Source organism: Homo sapiens, chromosome 12 (genome assembly GCF_000001405.40).
Source record: "Homo sapiens chromosome 12, GRCh38.p14 Primary Assembly".
Taxonomy (NCBI): domain Eukaryota; kingdom Metazoa; phylum Chordata; class Mammalia; order Primates; family Hominidae; genus Homo; species Homo sapiens.
Window position 1 is genome coordinate 45508210 of NC_000012.12, and position 17412 is coordinate 45525621.

Below are 17412 nucleotides of genomic sequence, written 5' to 3' on the forward strand. Positions count from 1 at the left end.
CCCCAAAGTCTTATCTCATTCCAGCACCAACTCAAAAGTCCAGAGTCTCATCTAAATCAGATATGGGTGAAACTGAAGGCATAATTCATTCTATGGCAAATTCCCGCCAGCTGTGAGGCTGTGAAATCAAAACAAGTTGCCATCCCATTACAGGGTATATACCCAAGGGATTATGAATCATGCTGCTATAAAGACATATGCACACGTATGTTTATAGCAGCACTATTTACAATAGCAAAGACTTGGAACCAACCTAAATGTCCAACAACGATAGACTGGATTAAGAAAATGTGGCACATATACACCATGGAATACTATGCAGCCATAAAAAATGATGAGTTCATGTCCTTTGTAGGGACGTGGATGAAACTGGAAACCATCATTCTCAGCAAACTATCGCAAGGACAAAAAACCAAACACCGCATGTTCTCACTCATAGGTGGGAACTGAACAATGAGAACACATGGACACAGAAAGGGGAACATCACACACTGGGGACTGTTGTGGGGTGGGGGGAGGGGGGAGGGATAGCATTAGGAGATATACCTAATGCTAAATGACGAGTTAATGGGCACAGCACACCGACATGGCACATGTATACATATGTAACAAACCTGCACGTTGTGCACATGTACCCTAAAACTTAAAGTATAATAATTAAAAAATAAATAAATAAATAAAGTATTATTGGAAGGAGAAAACAAAACAAAACAAAACAAAAAAACAAGTTGTCTACTTCATTGTCCCACCAAAATACAATGGTGGGACAGGCATAGGATAGACATTCCCATTCCAAAAGGGAGAAAGAAGTAAGAAAAAAGGGATTACTGATCCTAAGTAAGTCTAAAAATCAACAGACAAAACAGCATTAAACCTTAAAGTTTCAGAATGATCTTTCATTCTATGTGCCACGTCCTGGACACACTGGAGGATTTATGTCCTAAAGCCTCAAGCAGCCCCATCTGTATGGCTTTGCTGGGCTCATGCCATGCAACAGTTCTCATGGGTTAGAGTCTCATGCCTGCAGTTCTCCCAGGCTAGTGTGGCACACTGGTAACTACAGTTCTCAGGTTCTAGGCGTGGCTCTGCTTCTGGAGCTCCACTAGGTATTGTTCTAGTGGGGGTTATCCATGGCAGCACCAGCTCTGACTCACATTTCCACCCAGCATTGCCCTAGAAGGGGCTTTCTGCAGTGGCTCTAACTCCTGCAATAAGGCTCTGCCTGGGCTACCAGGCTGCTTGCAACATCCTTTGAAATCTAGAAAGAGGAAGTAATGCCCCCACAGCTCTTGCATTCTGCTTTACTTAAATCAGCAGTGTTAGCACCTCATGAGCACCACCAAGGTTTACCACTTGTACCTTTTGGAGTGGCGGGTCAAGCCACACCTGGGCCCACTTGAGCCACAGCGTGGGTAGCTGGAAAGAACAGCTTCAGAATGCAGGGAGCAAAACCTAAGGTGGCCCTGAGCAAGGGCTTGTCCTCCAAAACCATTCTGTTCTCTAGAACCCTGGGCCTGTGTTAGGAGAGACAGCCTTCAAGATCTCTGAAATGCCTTTGGGGTTTTTCTCTTATTGTCCTGATGAACAGTCTCCGGCTTTGTTCTATTCACACTAATTTCTGTATCAATCAGTTGCTTGGTCACACCCTTGGTTTCCTCTGCTAAAAAGCCCTTTCATTGTCTACCATATAGCCAGGCTGCAAAGTTTCCAGATCTTTCCACTCTGCTTCCCTTTTAATTATAAATTATATCTTTAAATCATCTCTTTCCTCTTATTTTACTATAAGCAGTTAAAAGTAGCCATGCAGCAGCCTGAATGCTTTGATGTTTAAATATTTCTTCCAATATTTGTCAAACCTGTGAGCTCTAAAGCATGAAGAATGAAATCCAGGGCAACATAAGAGGATATGGTGGTGTGTGGTTAATTTTGTGTGTCAACTTGGCTAAGCCACTAGATATTCCAGTTCATCACTCTTAAATTCCACTTTCCATAAAGTTTTCAGGCGCAGACACAGTTCAGCCAAGTTCTTTTCCACTTTATAACAAGAATGGCCTTTACTCCAATTTCCAATACCTTATTTCTCAGTCCCATCTGAGACATAAGACCTCATCAGAATGGCCTTAGTGTCCATAGTTCTATCAACATTCTGGTCACAATTACTTAAGTAATCTCTAAGAAGTTCCAGACTATCCTTAGTCTTCTCTTCTTCCAAGCCCACATCAAAATCACTCTTAACATTTCATTCAAGCTAGTACAGACTTTTTCTAGCCTACTTCTCTGTATTAGTCTCTTTTCACACTGCTATAAAGATACTACCTGAGACTGAGTAATTTATGAAGAAAAGAGGTTTAATTGACTCACAGTTCCACATGGCTGGGGAAGCCTCAGGAAACTTAAAGTCATGGCAAAAGGCAAAGGGGAAGCAAGGCATGTGTTCCATGATGGTAGGCAAGAGAGAGGGAGCACAGGAAAAACTGCCACTTTTGAAACCATCAGATCTTGTGAGAAATCCCTCAATATCATGAGAACAGCATGGGGAAAACTGCCCCATGATTCAATCACCTCCCACCAGGTCCCTCCCTGGATACGTGGGGATTACAATTCAGATTACAATTCGAGATGAGATTTGAGTGGGAATACAGCCAAATCATATCATTCTGCCCCAATCCCTCCCAAATCACATGTCCTTTTTACATTTCAAAACCAATCATGCCTTCCCAACAGTCCTCCAAAGACTTAACTCTTTCCAGATTAACTCAAAAGTTCAAGTCCAAAGTCTCATCTGAGACAAGGCAAGTCCCTTCTGCCTATGAGCCTGTAAAAATCAAAAACAAGTTAGTTACTTTCAAGATACAATAGGGGTACAGGCATTGGGTAAATGTTCCCATTCCAAATGGGAAAAACAAAGGGGCTACAAGCCCCATGCAGTCCAAAATCTAGCAGGGCAATCATTAAATCTTAAAGCTCCAAAATAATCCCCTTTGACTCTATGTCTCACATCCAGGGCATGCTGATGCAAGGGGTGGGTTCCCATAGCTTTGGGCAGCTCCACCCCTGTGGCTTTGCAGGGTACAGTTCCTTTAGCTGCTTTTATGAGCTGGCATTGAGTGCCTTCTGGTTTTCCAGGTGCACAATGCAAGCTGTTGATGGACCTACCATTCTGGGGTCTAGAGGATGGTGGCTCCCTTCTCACAGCTCCACTAGGCCATACCCCAGTAAGGACTCTGTGTTGGGGCTCCAACCCCACATTTCCCTTCAGTACTACCCTAGCAGAGGTTCTCAATGTGGGCCCCACCCTTGTAGCTGACTTCTGCCTGGACAGCCAGGCATTTCCATACATCCTCTGAAATCTAGGTGGAGGCTCCCAAAGCTCAACTCTTGTCTTCTGTGCACCCCCAGGCCCAAAACCATGTGGAAGCTGCCAAGGCTTTGGGCTTTCACCCTCTGAAGCAATGGCCCCAGCTGTACCTTGGCCCCTTTTAGCCACGGCTGGAGCTGGAGCAGCTGGGGTGCAGGGCACTTGTTGTCCCAAGACTGCAAAGAGCACTGTGGCCCTGGGCCTGGCCCACAAAACCATTTTTCCCTTTTAGGCCTCTGGGCCTGTGATGGGAGGGTCTGCAGTGAAGGTCTCTGACATGCCTTGAAGACATTTTCCTCATTGTCTTTGGTATTAACAGTCAGCTCCTCCTCGTTACTTATGCAAATTTCGGCAGGAGGCTTGAATTCCTCCCCAAAAAATGGGTTTTTCTTTTCTGCCACATGGTTAGGCTACAAATTTTCCAAACTTTTATGCTTTGCTTCCCATTTAAACATATGTCCCAGTTTCAAACCATTTCTTTGTGAGCACATATAACTACATGCTTTCAGGAAAAACCAGGTCAGCTCTTGAATGCTTTGCTGCTTAGAAATTTCTCCCACCAGATACCCTAAATTATCTCTCTCAAGTTCAAAGTTCCATAGATCTCTAGGGTAGGGGCAAAATGCCACCAGTTTCTTTGTTAAAGCATAGCAAAAGTGACCTTTGCTATTGACTTATTGGGAACTAGTTTCCAATAAGTTCCTCATCTCCATCTGAGACCACCTCTGCCTGGATTTTATTGTCCATATTACTATCAGCATTTTTATCAAAACCATTAAACAAGTCTCTAGGAAGTTCCAAACTTTCCCTCATCTTCCTGTCCCCTTCTGCACCAAACTGTTCTAACCTCTGCCCATTAGCCAGTTCCAAAGTTGCTTCCACATTTTCAGGTTGTCTTTACAGCAATACCCCACTATCCCAATACCAATTCTCTGTATTAGTACATTTTCACACTGCTATAAAGATACTATCCGAGACTGGGTAATTTATGAAGAAAAGAGGTTTAATTGACTCACAGCTCCACATCGCTGACGAGGCCTCAAGAAACTTACAATCATGGTGGAAGGTGAAGGGGAAGCAAGGCACATTTTACATGATGGTAGGCGAGAGAGAGCCAGAGAGCGAGAGAGCACAGGAAAACTAGCAACTTTAAAACCATCAGATCTCATGAGAAGCCCCTCACTATCATGAGAACAGCATGGGGGAAACTGCCCCCATGATCCAATCACCTCCCATCAGGTTCCTCAGTGGACACATAGGGATTACAATTTGGATTAAAATTTGAGATGAGATTTGGGTGGGGACACAGCCAAATCATATCATTCCCCAAATTCTTCTAGCATCTTCCGAGTTCCAAAGTTGCTTCCGCATTTCCGGGTATTGGTTATCGCAACAACTCCCTTCCTGTTACCAATTTTCTTTCTTAGTCCATTATCTGATGCTATATCAGAATACCATAGACTGAGCAAATTATAAAGAAAAAAGGTTTATTTAATTTCATGGTTCTGGAGGCTGAGAAGTCTAAAAGCATGGTGCCAGCATCTGGGGAGGGCCTTTGTGTTACATCATTACATGGTGGAAGGCATTCACATGATGAGAGGACAAGAGCAAGAAAGCCAGAGAGACCTCACTTTTATGACAAAGCCACTCCCATGGTAATGAGCTCACTCCAGTGATAGCAACATTTCTCCATTCATGAGGGAAGAAGCCTTGTTAATCCATAAACCTATTCATAACAGCAGGGGTATTATATTTCCAACACATAAAATTTGGGGAGACACATTCAAACCATAGTAATAGCTTTTAAACAATATAATTTGTCAAACCTATGAGCTCCAAAGTGTGAAAAATGAAAGCCAGGACAACATAAAAGGATCTGGTGATGTGTGGTTAATTTTACATCTTGGCTAAGACACGGTAGCCAGATATTTGGTCAACAATCTGAATGTTGCTGTGAAGGCATTTTTTATGTAAAATTAACATTCTAATCAGTAGACTTTAACTAAAGCAGATTACCCTCCAGAACGTGATGGGGAGACTCATCTAATCAGTGGCCTTAAGAAAAAGACTGACCTCCCCCAAGGAAGAGGGAATTCTGCTAGCAAAATGCTTTCAGACTCAAACTGCAACATCAACTCTTCCCTAGGTCTCCAGCCTACCATGCAGATTTTGGACTTGCCAGCCTCCACAATCACATGAGCCAATTCCCTTCCTTAAAACTAATCTCTTTTTTCTCTCTTGCGATATACATACATATATGGGTATATTTGTTCTGTTTCTATATGTGTTCTATTTGTTCTGTTTCTCTGGAGAGCCCTGGCTGATAGAGGGTATGCTATAGGAAGCAATTAACATGTCTACTTATATTTATTTTTCAATCCGCATTCTAAAAACAAATTCTTCACGAAACCTTTACATGTATATAATCTATTACTATAGTGTATATAATGTAATTTAAAATTAAGTATATGTACATACTTGCTCAATTTTTAAAAACCTAATATGAGCACACAGCCAAAAAAGTTTGAAGATCACTAGTTGAAACAATGACAATGAATAAGTAATATATTCATAAAGTCCATAATGAAAAGTATAATTATAGTATTCCAAAATCAAGGGGATGTCAGACAGAGAAGTAGAGGCCAATGGAAAGGAAGCAACCTAAGGTACCTATCTTATTTTGAGGATAGGCACAGACATCGATAAGCTTAAGACATTGGTGGGGAAAACACATTCTTTATGAAAAATTATGTGCAATTCCTTCTGAAACACATAAAATTAAATATTTCAATTTTTTTATTGATAAAAACTCTTTCAGGTATTGATATAGAAAGATACATGTAGGTGCTCACAAATGAATTCCAATGTTAAACAGCAATCACTGAAGTGGCTGCAAAATAGAGTGCATAAAACATTGGAGTAGGGGAAGAAAATGCATGAACTTCAGTTTATATCTATTTTTATTTCATACATGTTAATTTCTATCTTTGTGTGTGTGTTACAATATAAAATAGAATAAATGCCTAATTTATTAATAAATATGTATATGTTTGAGGTGGGTATTTTTTTTTTTAATGTGGTGAATACTGCCCTGGAGAATAATGCCTAAGCAGATGCTATTCTTATCTGAGTGTCTACTCGTTACACTTTCTTTCCTGTCAAACTCCTATTCATCGTTTATGTCAATGTAGCTCAGGATCCACCCTTTGTAACAGACACTTTCCATGGAGTCTGGCCAACAGGTACTGTCAATCCCCCCCCCACTCACAGGGACAGGTTCCACCACACATTTGTGTTTGCCGAAGATTCTGAGTACCTTAGTTACTGGCGATTAGTCCAGAACCAGAATGAACTTGAACAGAGTTTGATTAACTAGATTCACCCTCTGAGAAATTTGGATTCAGAGATACTAATTAAATTCTGTTCATCAATAGACACAACAAAGACCTGTAAATCTGAAAACTATGAGGTAGGTACCTATCACTGGAACTAAGGAAAAGAATTTCATCTTTGCTTAGCCTTGTTAAGGGAGGCATTGCATTACCAAGATTTATTTAGTCTGCAAAGATCTGTAGTGCTAGTAATTTTTTTCTCCCAACTTTCAATTTTGAAAAATTTTAAACTTACAAAAAGTTGAAAGAATAATACAAAGAATACCTGTATACCCTTCTATGTTTGCCACATTTGCTTGCTTAATCCTACCCCTTCTTTCTCTCTCCCCATAGACATGCACACACACACACAGACATACACACACACACACACACACACACTTACATATCTTGAGCTGAAGTATCTCAAATTAGGTCTCAGACATCATGACACAATGACACATTATCCCTAAATACTTTGGCATGAGTATCCTAAGAATGAGATATTCTCCTTCATAACCCCATAATAACATTATCACAACAAATAAATTTAACAATTCAATATTATCATCTAATATATAGTCCATCTTCAAATTTTCCTATTTGAGGCCACAATGTCTTTTATAACTGCTTTTTTTCCTGATCCAGGATCTAATCAAGTTTTTAGCATTGCATTTTGTTGTTACGTTTCTTTAGTTTGTTTCAACATGTGCTAGACTCCTTGTCTTTTTGTTTTTGTTTTTCATAACACTATCTTTTTTAAAGAGCCTAGCCAGTTGTCATGTAAAATGTCTTTTCTACATCCCAAATATGTCTGGTTGTTCCTCATGGTTAGAGTCAGAATATTACAAGAGTATTACACAGACAATGCTGTATATTCCTTATCGCATCACCTAAGGTAACTTGTGTTATTTATTTATTTATTTATTTTTGAGATGGAGACTCACTCTGTCACCCAGGCTGGAGGGCAATGGCGCAATCTTGGCTCATCACAACCTCCACCTCCCGGGTTCAAGTGATTCTCCTGCCTCAGCCTCCTGAGTAGCTGGGATTACAGGCACACACCACCACGCCTGGCTAATTTTTGTACTTTTAGTAGAGATGGGGTTTTGCCACGTTGGCCAGGCTGGTCTCGAACTCCTGACCTCAGGTGATCTGCCTGCCTTTGCTTCCCAAAGTGCTAGGATTATAGGGGTGAGCCACCGTGCCCGGCCTAGCTTGTGTTATTGTTAGAGATGCTGAATTTGATCTATTGGTAAGGTAACTTTTCCCTGTGTAACTAGTAGATAATCTGTGGAGTGATACTTTGAGACTGTGTGAATAACCAATTCTCTAATATATTTTTACCCAATAACTTTAGAATTTATGATTAATACTTGCCTAAATCAGTTATTAAATTGGGAGTTACAAAATAGTGATTTTTGAATTCTATCATTCTTTTTACATATTAGTTGGCATTCTTTAAAGAAAAGCTTTTTCTCCCACCCCACTCCCTTTATAATGCATGTATTTTTTTAATTCAACATATTACAACCCATTACAAACATTATTTGTTACAGTGCTCAAAATGTCCCAAATTTGGCTTCCATTATTGAGTCTCAAAGACTCTAGATTTTATATCAAGGGAGAAAGCAAAATGTAGTGGGTAGAACCCAGGCTTTGGAGTCAGACAGCCTTTGGGAAGCTGCCACTTACTAACAGAGTGGCAATAAGCAAGTTTTAAAAATACATAGAGACTCAATTTCTTCACCTGCAAAAGAATGCTAATAATACCTACTTCCTAGATGGGAACCAAGCCTTCTGTTCCACTGTTATATCCCCAATATCTCAGTCACCTAGAAAGCACTTAATAGATACCTGATGACTTTGGAAAGCACCTAGAACAGCGCCAGTTATGCAATGGCAGCACAATAAATGAGCTGTTGTTGTTCATATTTATATAACACAATATGGCTTTATTAGTTAATTATTGAAGGCTTTTATGTGTGAACATTTGTACTGGCCATCAAGAAAGAACTGGAGGGTCAGGGAGACTACATCCAATTCAATTTAGCAATAATAATAATAATAATTATTGTCTTGACAATGATGAACATTTGTATAGTGTTTTCTATGGGACAGGTAGTGTGCTGAGCTCTTAATTAAGTCATTTATTCCTCTCAACAATCCTATAAGGCATTATTATTATCCCCATTTTAAGATTAGGAAACTGAGGCCCAGAAAGGATAAGTAACTTGCCACATAGCCAGTCAGCAGTAGATCCATGATTTATCCACTGCCAATCTGGTTTCAGAAGTATTCTTGTACCCATTATGCTATGCTAAAGAAAGAAAAGCTTTTAAAAATAAGGTAAATAAAAGCAGAAGGTGTTCTTTACACAGAAGAGCGTATGGTAGAGATTATGACATTTATTTAAAAGACACACGCACTTTACTGGCATAGAGTTGATAATGAAGATGTAAGGTTCTTATCCTAAAGTTCTACTGACATCATAATTTGTTTAAAAAAATTACATTTTGGAAGATGCTGAGGCTGTTGCAGATGAAGTTCTCATTTCCAGAACTTAAGGCACTAAAGCAATTTAAGCCTTGGAAAATTAGAAGTAGACGCCAGCTCTTATCTTCATCTGGTGCTTTATGGCAGCCGCTCAGTGATATACAAAGCTATGTCTGAATAACCCACCAGATGGTCCAGCTGTGAGAATGTTATTGTTTTCTACCAATTTGTATCATTCCCATGGCTTCGTAAGTTCTAGTTCTTGAACCTTCAAAAGACACCACAACTTTTTCCTTAAGCTGTGAGAAAATAATATGTTTCCCAAATCCATCACAAAAGATTCATCAGATCTGCAGGTGAATTTGCAGACAAATGTCAGTGCTTTTTGCAGTCTCCCTTAAAAGGCTGTACTTTAGTTTATAAGCCCTTGTCCTTACAAGGGTTTGATAGAAAGTTTTTGTATCAGCAGGCCAGGCACGGTGGCTCACGCCTGTAATCCCAGCACTTTGGGAGGCCAAGGCAGGTGGATCACTTGAGGTCAAGAGTTCGAGACCAGCCTGGCCAACATGGTGAGACCCCCGTCTCTACTAAAAATACAAAAATTAGCTGGGCATGGTGGCAGGCGCCTGTAATCCCAGCTACTTGGGAGGCTGAAGCAGGAAAATCGCTTGAACCTGGGAGGCGGAGGTTGCAGTGAGCCGAGATCAGGCCACTGCACTCCTGCCTGGGTGACAGAACGAGACATCATCTCAAAAAGAAAAAAAAAGTTTTTGTATGAGCAGACTGTAGACAGTTGCTACCACTGTCAATTAGTTAATGCACTTTGTTAAAAATGATCCTTGTCTCTCAAAAGCCATTTTGTTATCTGTCTTTACACTCTTACCTTCTTCAGTATTATGTGGAATTGCTTGCCTGATGTTATTGGAGTGAGCATACTGGTCATTCACAGGCACTATATGTTCCCAACTATCTGTATCCTACAAGAAAGATGAGCAATAAGAACTCACACAGTGTGAATTATAGCCTAATAATTAGTATCTCCTGCGTTAGGAGATGCAAGGCTGAGGGCTATGCAGCCATTAAAACAGTTAAGCATGAATTACCACACTATAATTCAGGGCCTGAAGGCTCTTCTATACATAGAAGCAGATGTCTCTTTTACTAGAAGAGGGAAGCCGGTAGTAATCTGAAGCGGGGGAGGTGGTTTTTTGAAAAAATGCTGGCGTGACCCAGTTACTGCTACTGCACCCGGAAATAAGACATATAACACGCCTCTGAATTCCCCTGAAGCAGCCCTTGCATTGATCTTAGCCTTCATCAGCCTCCCTGTGGGTACCTGTGGGGCCAGCAATGGATCCCTGCATTTATCTAGCTTGAGCAATTTCCCCTTGTGCGTTTTTATTGTCTTACAATTAAAACCACAAAACACGCCCCTCACCCAGGACTCTACTAGAAGCTACATCTGAGTGTATCCCTCTGTATACGTGTCCAAGAGTAAGCACCCCATGGTATTTCAAGGAAAGCAGGCACTCTAAAAACTTTTCAACACCTGGCCCTGCCTGTGTCTCAAACTTGGTCTCCCTGTACTCACTTCCTCTCTCACATTGTTCCAACCATACCTTCCACATTGCTCTTCCTCATGCCGGCCAAGTACATGTATATCAAGGGTATTTGTCCTTCCTTCTGCCTGGAAGACTCTTCCATCAGGTGTCTGCATGACTGAAGGAAAGAAAAGGAAAGATATGAAATAAGGAATAAAACAAGGACAGGAAAAGAAAGCCTCAGAGAGTCCTTTCCAGATCATAATTCATAAAAGCGTTCCATGCCATTTTTGTTTGTCTCTTTATCTGACATTATTTTACTTCCAAGCACTTACCACTACCTGGTATTAAGTTGTGTATTTATGTGTTGGGTCTGTCTCTTTCACTACATCGTAAGCTCCATGAAGTCAGTTTATTTAATTTTTTGTTCCCTGCTTTTTAGCCTCAAATTCTCAGCCCTTAGAAAAGAGCCTGACACATAGTAGGTCCTAAAATATTTGCTGAATGAAAGAATGAATTAATGCACTCCCAGTTTCAAGGAACAGAAGAACTCATATTTCCATGCTTTTTTATTTTTATTTTTTTTAAGATATGGAAACAAGTCCGGGCGTGGTGGCTCACTATTATAATCTCAGCACTTTGGGAGGCTGAGGCAGGTGGATCACCCGAGCTCAGGAGTTTGAGACCAGCCTGGGCAACATGGCAAAACCCCGTCTCTATAAAAAATACAAAAATTAGCCAGACACGGTGGCACATGCCTGTAATCCCAGTTATTCAGGAGGCTGAGGCACAAGAATTGCTTAATCCTGGGAGGCGGAGGTTGCAGTGAGCTCAGATCGTGCCATTGCACTCCAGCCTGGATGACAGAGAAGATCCTGTCTCTCTGTCTCTCTCTCTTCCTCACACACACACACATACATACACACACACACACACACACACACACACAAAGATACAGAAATACAATTCTTCAAGTTCTTTCTTCACATGTACCTCCTTTCTACTTGAAATGACTAACTAGTTTGGGATGTGATGCAGGGGCACATCTCCAAGGATTTGCTCTGGAAATGGACAAAATACTCGGGTGCCCCTCCACTTAAAGAAACTATAGGTTGTGTTGAAAAGCAAAGGTTCTCTAACCTGAGGCCTTTCTAAAATGTGAATTTTAAAGCATTAAAGAAAAGCTGCCATTTCAAAATTTCTTCTAGTTCTTAGTAGAGCTTACAAAGGAAACCCAAGAAAACACATTAATGGGATTTTGACTATGAATAACAATGCACTGAGTTTATCCTGGAATAAGATTTTTGAGACTAAGGAAACTAAATTTCTCAGTATAATAACTAACAAGAATTTTCTGTTTGCACCAAAATTACCAGAGGAAAGCCTTCTAGCCTTCTAGAGGAAGAAGCATGATGGGGAAGCAATGTTGTTCAGAGAAAGTGGGCACAATGAAAGGGTGACGGCTAAAGAAGGAAACACTAAGGAGAATACAAAAAGGAAATTATAGCCCCCTTTACCTATGCATGAAGATTCAAAAATCCTAAGTAAAATATTAGTGAACCAACTCTACAATGTTAAATATATTTAATACATAAAATATATTTAGTTGTCTTAGGATTCTCCAGAGAGACAGAATTGATAGGCTATATGTCTCTATATCCTATCGATACACACACACACACACACACACACACACACACACACACACACATATATAGAGAGAGAGATGAGAAGAGATTTATTAGGATAATAGTAATTAGTTCATTCCATTATGGAGTCAGAAATATCCCACAATAGGCTGTCTGCAAGCTGGAGAAGCAGAAAGCTAGTAGGGTGGCCCTGTCAAGTCTGAAATCATCAGATTAAGGAAGCAGGTAGCATGGCTCTCAGTTCGAGACCCAAAAGTTGTGGGCCTAGCTGGTCCCAGCCCCATAGTGTAAAAGCCTGAGAACTTGGAGTCCTGACATCCAAGGTCAAGAAAGGAAGGACATCCTGGCTCCAGAAGAAAGAGAGAGCAAGAATTTGTCCTTCCTCTTCCTTTTTGTTCCATCTGGGTCCCCAGACAAATGGATGGTGCCTGTGTCTATTGAGTGTGAATCTTCCCCACTTAGTCTTCCAACTCACATACCAATCTCCTCTGGAAATCGCCTCACAGACATGCCTGGGGCAGCCCAGTGAAAAGGCCAGTAAAAGGCCAAACCACCTGGGTTGCCCTTTCAGCAGAAGAGGGGTGGGCTCAGTGCCTGGTGAAGCATTGAGGAGAAGTAGTGCAATGATTAAGAATAAATGATACCTAACCAGCTATCTGGGAATCCCTTAATTCAGTCAAGTTGACACCCAAAATCAACCATCGGTATTGTAAATTTTAGCTCCAGATCAACTGCAAGAATAGACCAGCAATCCTGAGAGGACCCACAAACCCTCTGAAGGAAGCAGACTGCTCCTGCAGGAACTGGGAGACACCCCAAATACTGTGAGTGCCCCAAACGCGGAAGTGGGAAAGGGAGACCCTCCTCTCCCGAACACACACACCCACTGGAGAAACTGAAGATGTGTTTGCAGAAGTTCCCGAGTTTACCTGGAGCTGAGTCAAGTTAGAGAGCTCAGCCGAGCGAAATACAAGGGTAGAGGAAGTAGCAGAAAGGCACTGGGAGCTTGCTGGATCCCTAAGCAGCCCATTCTTGCCTGGCACCACAGGGATCCATCAGGAGAATGGCCAGAGGAGCAGGGGGAAAACTCCACAGAGAGAAGGACTTCTCTAGCAGAAGTTTGTAACAATTTGAACAGGGTGAGAAGCCTCCTGGCCAGAACTCGAGGGAGGGCGTGATTCCAGCTTGCAGACTTCACAGGCAGAGGAAGAACTAAAGCCCTTTTCTTCTTATTTATTTATTTATTTTTTTTTTGAGATGGAGTCTTACTCTGTCACCCAGGCTGGGTCGCGCCGAGTGGCGCGATCTCGGCTCACTGCAACCTCCACCTCCCGGGTTCAAGCCGTTCTCCTGCTTCAGCCTCCCGAGTAGCTGGGACTGCAGGCATGCGCCACCGTGCCTGGCTAACTTTTGTATTTTTAGTAGAGATGGGGTTTCACCATGTTAGCCAGGCTGATCTCAAACTGCTGACGTCAGGCAATCCACCTGTCTTGGCCTCCCAAGGTGCTGGGATTACAGGCGTGAGCCACCGTGCCAGGCCTAAAGCCCTTTTCTTTCGCAGCTGGGAGGCTGAAAGCCTAGGGCAAGTTTTCAAGCCCAACTCCCTCTCCACCTGAAAACAGACTCAGAGCTGTTGTGGGGGACATGGTGGGAGTGAGACTGGCCCTTCAGTTTGCCTGGGAGCTGGGCGAGGCCTGTGACTGCCGGCTTTCCCCCATTTCCCTGACAACCTGCATGACTCAGCAGAGGCAGCCATAATCCTCCTGGGTGCACAACTCCAGTCACCTGGGAATCTTACCCCCATCCCTCACAGCAGCTGCAGCAAGACTCGCCCAAGGAGAGTCTGAGCTCAGACAAGCCTAGCCCTGCCCCACCCACCTCCTGATGGTCCTTCCCTACCCACTCTGGTAGCAGAAGACAAAGGACATATAATCTTGGAAGTTCTAGGGCCCTGCCCACCTCTGGTCCCTCTCCACACTACTACAGCTGATGCTTTCTGGAAAGTGCCACCTCCTGGCAGGAGGCCAACCAGCACAAAAATAGAGCACTAAACCACCAAAGCTAAGGATCCCCATGGAGTTCATTGCACCCTCCGTCACCTCCACCAGAACAGGCGCTAGTATCCATGACTGAGAGACCCATAGAAGGTTCACATCACAGGACTCTGTGCAGACAACCCCCAGTACCAGCCTGGAGCCAAGTAGACTTGCTGGGTGGCTAGACCCAGAAGAGAGACAATAATCACTGCAGTTCAGCTCACACGAAGCCACTTCCACAGGAAAAGGAGGAGAGTACTACATCAAGGGAAGACCCTGTGGGACAAAAGAATCTGAACAACAGCCTTCGGCCCTAGACCTTCCCTCTGACAGAAGGAAGCCAAATGAGAAGGAACCAGAAATGAGAAGGAACCAGAAAACCAGCCCTGGTAATATGACAAACAAGGTTTGTCAACACCCCCCAAAAATCACACTAGTTCACCAGCAATAAATCTAAACCAAGAAGAAACCCCTGATTTACCTGAAAAAAGAATTCAGGAGGTTAGTTATTAAGCTAATCAGGGAGGGATCTGAGAAAGGCAAAGCCCAATGCAAGGAAATCCAAAAAATGATATAAGAAGTGAAGGGATAAATATTCAATGTAATAGATAGCTTAAAGAAAAAACAATAAAAAAATCAGGAATCTTTGGACACACTTTTAGAAATGTGAAATGCTCTGGTAAGTCTCAGCAATAGAATTGAGCAAGTAGAAAAAAGAAATTCAGAGCTCGAAGACAAGGTCTTTGAATTAACCCAATCCAACAAAGACAAAGAAAACAGAATAAGAAAATATGAACAAAGTCTCCAAGAAGTCTGGGATTATGTTAAACAACCAAACCTAAAAATAATCAGTGTTCCTGAGGAAGAAGACAATTCTAAAAGCTTGGAAAACATATTTGGGGGAATAATCAAGGAAAACTTACCCAGCCTTGCTAGAGACCCAGATATCCAAATACAAGAAACACAAAGAACACCTGGGAAATTCATCACAAAAAGATCTTCACCTAGGCACATTGTCATCAGGTTATCCAAAGTTTATAGCAGCACTATTCACAATAGCAAAGACTTGGAACCAACCTAAATGTCCAACAACGATAGACTGGATTAAGAAAATGTGGCACATATACACCATGGAATACTATGCAGCCATAAAAAATGATGAGTTCATGTCCTTGGTAGGGACATGGATGAAACTGGAAACCATCATTCTCAGCAAACTATCGCAAGGACAAAAAACCAAACACCGCATGTTCTCACTCATAGGTGGGAATTGAACAATGAGAACACATGGACACAGGAAGGAGAACATCACACAGCAGGGACTGTTGTGGGGTGGGGGGAGGGGGGAGGGATAGCATTAGGAGATATACCTAATGCTAAATGATGAGTTAATGGGTGCAGCACACCAACATATCGCATGTATACATATGTAACAAACCTGCACGTTGTGCACATGTACCCTACAACTTAAAGTATAATAATAATACTAAAATAAAATTTAAAAAAAAAGCAAAGTTAAGACAAAGGAAAGAATCTTAAGAGCTGTGAGACACAAGCACCAGGTAAACTATAAAGGAAAACCTATCAGATTAACAGCAGATTTCTCAGCAGAAATCCTACAAGCTAGAAGGGATTGGGGCCCTATCTTCAGCCTCCTCAAACAAAACAATTATCAGCCAAGAATTTTGTATCCAGTAAAACTAAGCATCATATATGAGGGAAAGATATAGTCGTTTTCAGACAAACAAATGCTGAGAGAATTCACCATTACCAAGCCACTACGAGAACTGCTAAAAGGTGCTCTAAATCTTGAAACAAATCCTGGAAACACATCAAAACAGATTCTCTTTAAAGTATAAATCACACAGGACCTATAAAACAAAAATACAAGTTAAAAAAACAAAAACAAAAAACAAGGTATGCAGGCAAAAAAGAGCATGATGAATGCAATGGTACCTCACATTTCAATAATGACATTGAATGTAAACAGCTTAAATGCTCCACAGAACCACAGAATGGATAAGAACTCACCAACCATCTGCTGTCTTCAGGAGACTCACCTAACACATAAGAACTCACATAAACTTAAAGGGGTGGAAAAAGGCATTTCATGCAAATGGACACCAAAAGTGAGCAGGGGTAGCTATTCTTATATCAGACAAAAAAAATTTAAAGCAACAGCGGTTAAAAGAGACAAAGAGGGATATTACATAATGGTAAAAGGCCTGGTCCAACAGGAAAACATCACAATCCTAAACATACATGCACCTAACACTGGAGCTCCCAAATGTATAAAACAATTACTAACAGACCTAAGAAACGAGAAAGGCAGCAACACCATAATAGTGAGGGACTTCAATATTCCACTGACAGCACTAGACAGGTCATAAAGACAGAAAGTCAACAAAGAAACAATGGATTTAAACTATACTCAACCTAAACAAATGGACTTAACAGATATATACAGAACATTTCAAACAACAACCGCAGAATACACATTCTATTCAACAGCACATGGAACTTTCCCAAGATAGACCATATGATAGGCCATAAAACAAGCCTCAATAAATTTAAGAAAATTGAAATAATATCAAGCACTCTCTCTGACTACAGTGGAATAAACTGGAAATCAACTCCAAAGGGAACCTTTGAAACCATGCAACTACATGGAAATTAAGTAACCTGCTCCTGAAGGAGCACTGGGCCAAAAACAAAATCAAGATGGAAATTAAAAAAATTCTTTGAATTGAATGACAATAACAGCACAACCTATCAAAACCTCTGGGAGCAGCTAACGTGGTGCAAAGAGGAAAGTTCATAGCCCTAAATGCCTACATCAAAAAGTCTGAAAGAGCACAGACAATCTAAGGTCACACCTCAAGGAACTCCAGAAGCAAGAACAAACCAAACCCAAACCCAGCAGAAGGAAGGAAATAACCAAGATCAGAGCAGCACTAAATG

General features: G+C 41.5%; 1 long non-coding RNA gene across 2 annotated transcripts in view; it reads right to left on the reverse strand.

Moving 5' to 3' along the window:
• Positions 1-17412, reverse strand: part of LOC105369743 (uncharacterized) — a 178153-nt gene that overhangs the window by 117518 nt on the left and 43223 nt on the right. For both annotated transcript variants that reach the window (XR_944886.3, XR_944887.3), the window contains exons 2-3: positions 10845-10944; positions 10109-10202 (exon numbers count right to left, since the gene is read on the reverse strand). This is a non-coding gene — a long non-coding RNA (uncharacterized LOC105369743). The remainder of the gene's footprint in view (positions 1-10108; positions 10203-10844; positions 10945-17412) is intronic.